At 48.9% G+C, this 8,036-nt stretch overlaps 1 protein-coding gene across 8 annotated transcripts in view, besides 5 other annotated features; it reads right to left on the bottom strand.

Annotated features, from left to right (window-relative positions):
* The window catches only part of RRAS2 (RAS related 2), an 86,587-nt gene extending 78,971 nt beyond the window's left edge, over positions 1-7,616 (bottom strand). For 2 of the 8 annotated variants that reach the window (NM_012250.6, NM_001440708.1), the window contains exon 1: positions 1,873-2,293. In NM_012250.6, the coding sequence (NP_036382.2) occupies positions 1,873-1,980 (108 nt within the window). In that variant the 5' untranslated portion in view covers positions 1,981-2,293. Of the gene's footprint in view, positions 1-1,347; positions 1,578-1,872; positions 2,294-7,500 lie in introns of those variants that run through there. The other 6 variants (NM_001102669.3, NM_001440711.1, NM_001177315.2 and 3 more) reach the window with 4 other exon arrangements.
* Positions 1,123-1,222: an enhancer, noted in NCBI's record as "active region_4472". NCBI's record gives its function as "activates an Ori minimal core promoter by ATAC-STARR-seq in GM12878 lymphoblastoid cells {active_cell/tissue: GM12878}" and the evidence as "EXISTENCE:reporter gene assay evidence [ECO:0000049][PMID:35858748]".
* Positions 1,463-1,582: a silencer, noted in NCBI's record as "silent region_3170". NCBI's record gives its function as "represses an Ori minimal core promoter by ATAC-STARR-seq in GM12878 lymphoblastoid cells {active_cell/tissue: GM12878}" and the evidence as "EXISTENCE:reporter gene assay evidence [ECO:0000049][PMID:35858748]".
* Positions 1,623-1,822: a silencer, noted in NCBI's record as "silent region_3171". NCBI's record gives its function as "represses an Ori minimal core promoter by ATAC-STARR-seq in GM12878 lymphoblastoid cells {active_cell/tissue: GM12878}" and the evidence as "EXISTENCE:reporter gene assay evidence [ECO:0000049][PMID:35858748]".
* Positions 1,893-2,392: a silencer, noted in NCBI's record as "silent region_3172". NCBI's record gives its function as "represses an Ori minimal core promoter by ATAC-STARR-seq in GM12878 lymphoblastoid cells {active_cell/tissue: GM12878}" and the evidence as "EXISTENCE:reporter gene assay evidence [ECO:0000049][PMID:35858748]".
* Positions 7,279-7,836: an enhancer, noted in NCBI's record as "NANOG hESC enhancer chr11:14385715-14386272 (GRCh37/hg19 assembly coordinates)". NCBI's record gives its function as "activates a minimal SCP1, AML or CMV promoter by ChIP-STARR-seq in naive H9 embryonic stem cells {active_cell/tissue: H9 hESC(naive)}" and the evidence as "EXISTENCE:reporter gene assay evidence [ECO:0000049][PMID:30033119]".

Consider the following 8,036-nt stretch of genomic DNA (forward strand, 5'->3'; position numbering starts at 1 on the left):
GATTCTACTGCCTCAGCCTCCAGAGTAGCTGGGACTACAGGCGCGCGCCACCATGCCCGGCTAATTTTTGTATTTTTAGTAGAGACGGGGTTTCACTATATTGGCCAGGCTGGTCTGGAACTCCTGACCTCGTGATTCACCCGCCTCGGCCTCCCAAAGTGCTGGGATTACAGGTGTGAGCCACGACGCCAGGCCCAATTACCGCTTTCTTAATGGTTTAATACCATTACTTCCCCAAAACAAAAAGGCCCAACACCTTAATTAATTAACATGGGCTCAAATAATTCAGATGGCCCCTTCCTCAAAAAAACGTAAATATTTGTGGTTCAAATCTTTTAAATAACACTACCAATATTGTAACCCAAGATTATTCTCCCACTCCTAGACTTCTCCTCCACTTATCCCCTCACCCCCACCCTCCCTCAGCCATCAGACTAGTCCCCAAAGGGTTAGCTATAAATTGTTTTGCTTTGCCATTAGATACGTACAATCTCTCTGCGCCCTAGGGAAATAGCAACCTGACAGCATCCCTGATTCTGTAGCCTGCTAAACTTAAACCAATCTCACCCCTTACTCAGTGATTTTTTTAACCCACTAATAAGCATACTGTAAATGCTCATTACATAAAACATCCTTTCTTCCTGGATTCAAAGGTTTTAGCAGCAGTAATCCAGGGAATATTATAGCAGCAATTATTGCTCATTTACTCAATGTGAAAGGTGACAATCACATTTGTTACAGTACTCAATATTTTAATGTCACTATAAACACTAAGTGAAATAAGCTATTCAGGTATCCCAATTAATGACAAATGGGTGAAAAGGAAACCAGACAAAAATATTTCACCGTTCATACTCTAGATACTGTGAAAAATATCCTTGTTTCCTGTTATAACAGGGTACCTTCGTTCTCTCCCAGCATATGCCACACCTTTTAGGTTGACAAAAGCAGAAAGACATCGGGGCTTTGTGTTTTAAAAATCCCAAAAAAGACTACTCAAACCTCTCCCCAAGAGCAAATTCTAAGAAGGAAGAATACCACCTCCCTTTTCTTTACCACAAACCCCTGACTTACCGTCTCTAGCAACCAGAGAGGGCTGGGGGTAGGGGAGAGGGTGGTTAGAAAACAGAACGCACGACTCGGTCATATCCTAGCCCGGCCCATCCCAAACTTCACCTAGGCACGGCGAGAAGCAGGACGGCATCAGGAATTCCTAGGAAATGGTCTCACCCCATCAGAGAACATTTTTAACTTCCTAGAAGCCACCATTTCCCCGGGGCATTATCACACACTCCCACCCGGACATATTACCTAAGAGAGTACTTATAAAAAGAGCGTAACACACACACAAAGAAATACACAGTACTTGAAGCGGGCAGCTCCGGCTCAGGCGGCGCGGGGAAGCCCGGAGACCACGCGGAGCCGCGGCCAAGTTGCCACCGCTATCGCCCCGACGGTGAAGGCGCGGCCGCAGGCGGCTGGAAAAGCAGCGCGCGGGGCTCCAGCTCCAGCCCCACGCCCGGACCCTCGGAGCAGTAAAGCCCGGCTCGGTGGCCCAGCCTCTCCCGGAGGTCTCTGGCCTCGGCCAGAGCAATAAGGTGGATCGGTGCTTCCCACCCTTCCAGCTCCGCCCTCCCGACCACATTCCTGAGAAGCCCTACTCCCGCGACGCCGCGCCCGGGAGGAGGCAGGAGCGCGACGCTGCGGCCGCAGGGCAGGAGCGTAGTCGGCCCCGCGCCCTCCCGCCCCCTGGCCCCGGCCCGGGCCCGCGAGGCGCCTCTGGGGCGAGGTCGCGGCGGCCGCCCCGCCACAGGTAGCGCCAGCCCCCGCCCGCCGCCGCTCCGGCGCCCCGGGCAGGCCCGCTCCAGGTACCTGGATGAACTGGATGGTGAGCGCCGACTTGCCCACGCCGCCCCCGCCGACCACCACGAGCCGGTACTTCTCCTGGCCGGAGCCGTCCCGCCAGCCGGCCGCGGCCATGGGGACGCTACAGAGCCCAGCCTGACTGCGCCGAGCCGCCGCTGCCGCCCGCCCTAGGCCCGGCTCCGGGGACGTGTGCGGCCGGCGGGCTGCGGGCGAGCGGCCGGGCTGGGGTCCCGGGTACCGGGAGGCGTCTGGAGGGCCGGTCAGCGCGGTAGCGCGGCGCTGGGGACTGGCTGGGTACCGCCCGAGGCGCGGAGAAGCGGGGTGACGGCACGGGCCAGGGGCGGCAGCGGCCGGGGGGCGCGCTCCTCTACGCGTCTCCGCAGCGCCTGCCGAACGCAGCCTCCAGCGCCGCCACAAATGGCCGTCTGGGGGCCGGGCTGCCAGGCTGAGGTGCTGCATATGCATGAGGGGGCGGGGAGGGGCGGGGCCGCGCCGCTTGGGGCTGAGGTTCGGGAGGTAACCCGGGCTTCAGACCCCCACGGACACACCGCTCTAATCCCTAGCCAGTGAGCGAGTGCGTGAGAGTGTGGGAGTGGGTGTCAGTTGGGAGTGGGACGAAGGCAGAAAGAGTGTGTCACCCTAATTGTCTATGTAAGGGATTGTGTGGATGAAAAATACAATATGTGACGGCGTGTGCGAAAAATAGGGCTGTTGGCATATTAACTCAATTTTATAGGAGAGTACATACCCTGCTTTAAGAGTACAGATGGTGACCATATTTGTGTGAAAAACAGTATGTGACAGTGATTGAGGATTAGAGCTGTGTCACAGTAATTGAGTGTGTGATGGGCTGGTGGTTGTGACAGTGTGAAGAATGGGACAGTGGCTGAGCATGGAGAATAAGTCAGTGATTGAGCTTGCATGGGCAAGACGGAATGTGACAGATTTTGTATGTGTCAGTACAGTGTCATAGTGGCTATGTTTATGTGTGACAAATGTGCAGTAATTGGATATGAGGAGTGTGAGTGCGAGGGGTTGAACTCCTGGCCTCAAGCAATCCTCCCGCCTCGGCCTCCCAAAGTGCTGGAATTACAGGTGTGAGTCACTGCACCCGGCCTCATGGGGTTTTTAATAAGAATTAAATGAGCACATAAAACAGTGCTGCTACACAGGAAGCATTTACAGCAATCTTGGAACATGACTGCAAGTTCTTGGACTTCACTTGGTAACTCATTTGGAACCAGTAGAATGCAGCAGAAGAGATGCTGCCTAATTTCCCAGGCTAGATCAGAAGAGGCCATGCAGCTGTTCTCTTGGTATTCTCACTCCGGGAGGAACAAAGTCAGAAGTTTGACTATCATAAGACTGCCATGCTAAAGAGGCTACATGTAGGCATGCCAGTCGAAGTCTGATTGATGGCCAGGAGCAACATGCCATTTAAAAAAAAAAAAAAAAAGTCCCACTGAGCTCCCACCAGATCACCAGCATCACCTGCCAGCCATCTAAGTGAGACATCTTGGACACTCAGCCTAATCGAGCCTTCCAATGACGGCATCCCCTGTTAGCATCTGAATGCAACTGCGTGAGAGACCCCAAGCAAAAATACCCATCCAGGCCAGCCCATCCTGAATTCCTTTTTTAAAAATCTTTTTTTTTTCTTTTTTGAGACAAGATCCCTCTGTCACCCAGGCTGAAGTGTAGTGGCACAATCATGGCCCACTGCAACCTCCAACTTCTGGACTCAAGTGATCCTTCCACCTCAGCCTCCCTAGCAGCTGGGACTACAGGCACATGCCATCAAGATCAGGTAATTTTTTTTTTTTTAAGAGACAAGGTCTCTCTATGTTACCCAGGCTAGTCTCGAACTCCCAAAGTGCTGGGATGGCTGGGCGCAATGGCTCATGCCTGTAATCCCAGCACTTTGGAAGGCCAAGGCGGGCGGATCGCTTGAGCCCAGGAGTTCCAGACCAACCTGGCCAACATGGCTAAACGCATCTCTACTAAAAATACAAAAATTAGTCCGGAGTGGTGGCGTGCACTTGTACTCTCCGCTACTCCGGAGGCTGAGGTGGGAGGATCACTTGAGCCTGGGACGCGGAAGTGACAGTGAGCCAAGTTCACGCCACTGCACCCACGCCTGGGCGACAATGCGGGCTCAAAAAAAAAAAAAAAAAGTGCTGGGATTACAGGCATGAACCATCACTCCCGGCCCTTCTTGAATATTTGACCCACAAAATCATGAGCAAAATAAAATTGTAGTGGCTCACGCCTGTAATCCCAACACTTCGGGAGGCCGAGGGAGGCGGATTGCTCGCTTGAGCCCAGGAGTTCCAGACCAGCCTGGCCAACATGCCAAAACCCGTCTCTACAAAAAATTACAAAAATTAGCTGGGCGTGGTACACGCCTATAGTCCCAGCCACTCCGGAGGCTGAGGTGGGAGAATTGCTTGAACGCTGGAAGCGGAAGTTACAGTGAGCCAAGATCGTGAGATCACGAGATCACACCACTGCACTCCCGCCTGGGCGACAGAGCCGTCTCAAAAAAAAAAAATGTACTGGGATTACAGGCATGAGCCATCACTCCCGACCCTTATTGAATACTTGACCCACAAAATCATAAGCAAAACAAAATTGTTGTGGCTCATGTCTGTATTCCCTGCACTTTGGGAGGCCAAGGCAGGAGGATCGCTGGAACCTGGGAGGCGGAGGTTTCAGTGAGCCGAGCTCGGGGCCACCGCACTCCAGCCTGGGCAACAGAGCGAGACCCTGTCTCAAAAAAAAGTACATCGAAATACTGCTTCACACACACGAGGATGACTAAAATTAAAAAGACAGGTAAGTGTTGACAAAGATGTGAAGAAACTGGAGCCCTCATACACTGCTGGTAGGTGTGTTAAATGATGCCACTGCTTTGGAAAACTGTATGTGTCAGTTCCTCAAAAGATTAAATGTAGAGTTACCAACAACCTGACAATTACACCCCTACTTATCTGTACCTGAGAGAAATGAAGACATATATTCACATGAAAACTTGTTTGTGAATGTTATATATAATAGCCAAAAAGTGGAAACAACTCAGTTGTCCCTCAGCTGATGAGTGGATAAACAAAAAAATGTCGTATAGCCACGCAATAGAATATTATTTGGCAATAAAAAGGAATGAAGTCCTGATACATGCTACAGCATGGATAAACCTTGAAAACATTATGCTAAATGAAAGAAGACAGACACAAAAGACCACATATTATATAATTCCATTTATATAAAAGGTCCAGAATAGGCAAATCTATAGATACAGGAAGCAGATTTGTGGTTGCAGGATTACAGCAACCAATAGTAGGTATTGAGTTTCTTTTTGAGGAGTTGAAAATGTTTTGAAATTAGATAGTGGTGTTGATTGCACAACTCTGTAAATATACTAAAAACATTGGATTGTATGCTTTATATGGGTGAATTTTATTGTGTCTGTATTATGTCTCAGTGAAGCTACAAGGAAAAAAGATTCAATTGCAAGGTTTCATTTGAACTGTGAAGTTCAAGGAAGTGGCTTTATACTTCAGAATGTTCCCTATATTAACTCTATTCCTTTATTTTTTTTATTTGACTCAAACGTAGTATTCAGCAAATGAGAAGTCCATATGCTCAACCCCGCCCAGACTTTCTATGCCAAAATGAGCTCTTTCCCTTAGAAAATACCCCCAAAAGCATACAGCAGAAAGAAACTTCCATGCAAACACAAATCACTGAAGACACAGGAGAATATGGGAGAGGAAGAACTAGTTGTCACTCAAGCCAATTAAAGGTGAATTTTCAACTTAATCTGAAAAGTTTCCTTTTCAAGTAGCTGACAGATAATAAGTACATACATTTTCATGAAAAAGAATGATCTAGAACCTTGGAAAGAACAATAGAGATCATCCCCCTTACTTTATAGAAAGAAATCCTGTGACAAGGGAGAGAATTTCTTTCCCAATGTCACCTAGCAAGTTGTTAGCAGGGATTAGGAAACAGGTCTCCTGACTCCCCTGCTCAGAGCACTTTGCTCCATGCCAAGCTGGGTGTTATCCAGAACCCCGGAGAGCCTCACATCGCAGAAGCAGTGTGATGCTGCCAGTCAAGAGAGCTGTTGACTGCATCATTTTGACTTAAATCAAGCTTTTGTTTGGCTAAAGTGTTGTCAAGAGATTTCAACAGGCAGATTCAGAGCCAGATCTAGCCAGCGCATATGTTTTGGCCTACAATTCAAATTTTTTGTGTAAATTTTGAATTGGTTGCCGATATTTAAAAATAGGGTATGTCACAAATAAATCAGTATTTCTAACTCTTCTTGGAAAAATTAAGTGGAATATCTAGCAACACTGGACTGGCGTTATCTGGCAACAACTAGCTAAAGCTAAATACTGACTGCGTTTTAGAAAACTTAAGATCCTCCTGTTCATCAGGGTCACCAGCACTCTTCTATCACACACCACCCATTTGTTACCTGCCTGGCTTTAGTGGGCTTTAAGAGCTTGCAAATCCTACTATGACAATGTTCTCCACGAAGGATGTGCTTCCAAATCCCCTGTAGTGTATTTTATTTATTTATTTTTTTCCTATTCAAACATAAAAGGCAGCCTGTAGTGTCTTTTAAAATGAAGAAACTGGGCTCCTCCCCAGACCTGCTAAATGAGAACCTCTGAGGACACGGACTTAGAATCTGAATTTGTATATTAAATATCTAAAGTGATGGCCGGGCGCAGTGGCTCACGCTTGTAATCCCAGCACTTTGGGAGGCCGAGGCAGGTGGATCACCTGAGGTCAGGAGTTCAAGACCAGCCTGGCCAACATGGCGAAACCCTGTCTCTACTAAAAGTACAAAAAAATTAGCTGGGCATGGTGGTGTGTGCCTGTAATCCTAGCTACCTGGGAGGCTGAGGCAGGAGAATCACTCGAACCGGGGAGGCGGAGGTTGCAGTGAGCAGAGATCGTGCCACTGCACTCCAGTCTGGGCAACAGAGCAGGACTCCGTCTCAAAAAATAAAATAAAATAGGCCAGGCATGGTGGCTCATGCCTGTAATCCCAGAACTTTGGGAGGCCGAGGCAGGTGGATCACCTGCGGTTGGGAGTTTGAGACCAGCCTGACCAACATGGAGAAACCCCATCTCTACTAAAAATACAAAATTAGCTGGGCATGGTGGCACATGCCTGTAATCCCAGCTACTCGGGAGGCTAAGGCAGTAGAATCGCTTGAACCCGGGAGGCGGAGGTTGCAGTGAGCCGAAATCACACCATTGCACTCCAGCCTGGGCAACAAGAGCGAAACTCTGTCTAAAAATAAAATAAAATAAAGTGACCCTGAGACACCACCACAGCAAGAACTCTTAGAGGAGGGTGCTCATCCCTGTCCACTCTTTATTTCAGGACAAACAATGACCATCTCATCTGGACTGTTGGTTATTCATAATCTTTACAAACCAATATTGACCAAACAGCATCCCTGGCCCATCCCAGAGACAGGATCTGAGGGTAGAGTGGAGAGGGAGATGCTAGAATCAAGATTCCTCTAACCTCATCTGTAGCTACAACAGACAGAGCCAAGACCTGTTGGCCAAAGAAGGCCAAGCCCCCAGATCAGAGCCTGCAATACTTACCATGGGTGATGGAGGAGCATCATCCACTTATTTCCTTAATGGGCCATTGCTTTTAATGTGAATGAATGGCTGGCAGAGAATGAAACCGCCCAGCAGGAGCTGCATGCATCTGAGATGAGACATAAGCACAAATCTATTCCTTGTTTAAAGATCACATTGCTAAGAATAGAAATTGAAACACACGCTCAAGCGTGTGCACACACACACAACCCTGAGGAAGGCCGTAATGGTGCTGGAGAAATCCGCAGCTTAGTAGAGGATGATCTGAGAATCATTGAGCCTTAGAACAGAAAAGCCATCTTGAGTTCATTCCCTCTAAAGCTCTCCTTTCACAGATGGGGAAACAAAGGCCCACAGAGAGAAGAGCAATCCCCAGCATCACCTGGAAATAGAGCAGAAGCATGACTGGAACTCGGATTTCTGTCTCCCACCTTGAGATCCATCTCAATGTAGCACACTGTCTTAGGAACCCAAGAGCCCAGAAGGCTGAGCAGGGCCAAAAATCATACCTCTCTTCTTCTGCATGGCTACCAGAA

This window comes from Homo sapiens, chromosome 11, assembly GCF_000001405.40.
Source record: "Homo sapiens chromosome 11, GRCh38.p14 Primary Assembly".
NCBI classification, from domain to species: Eukaryota; Metazoa; Chordata; class Mammalia; order Primates; family Hominidae; genus Homo; species Homo sapiens.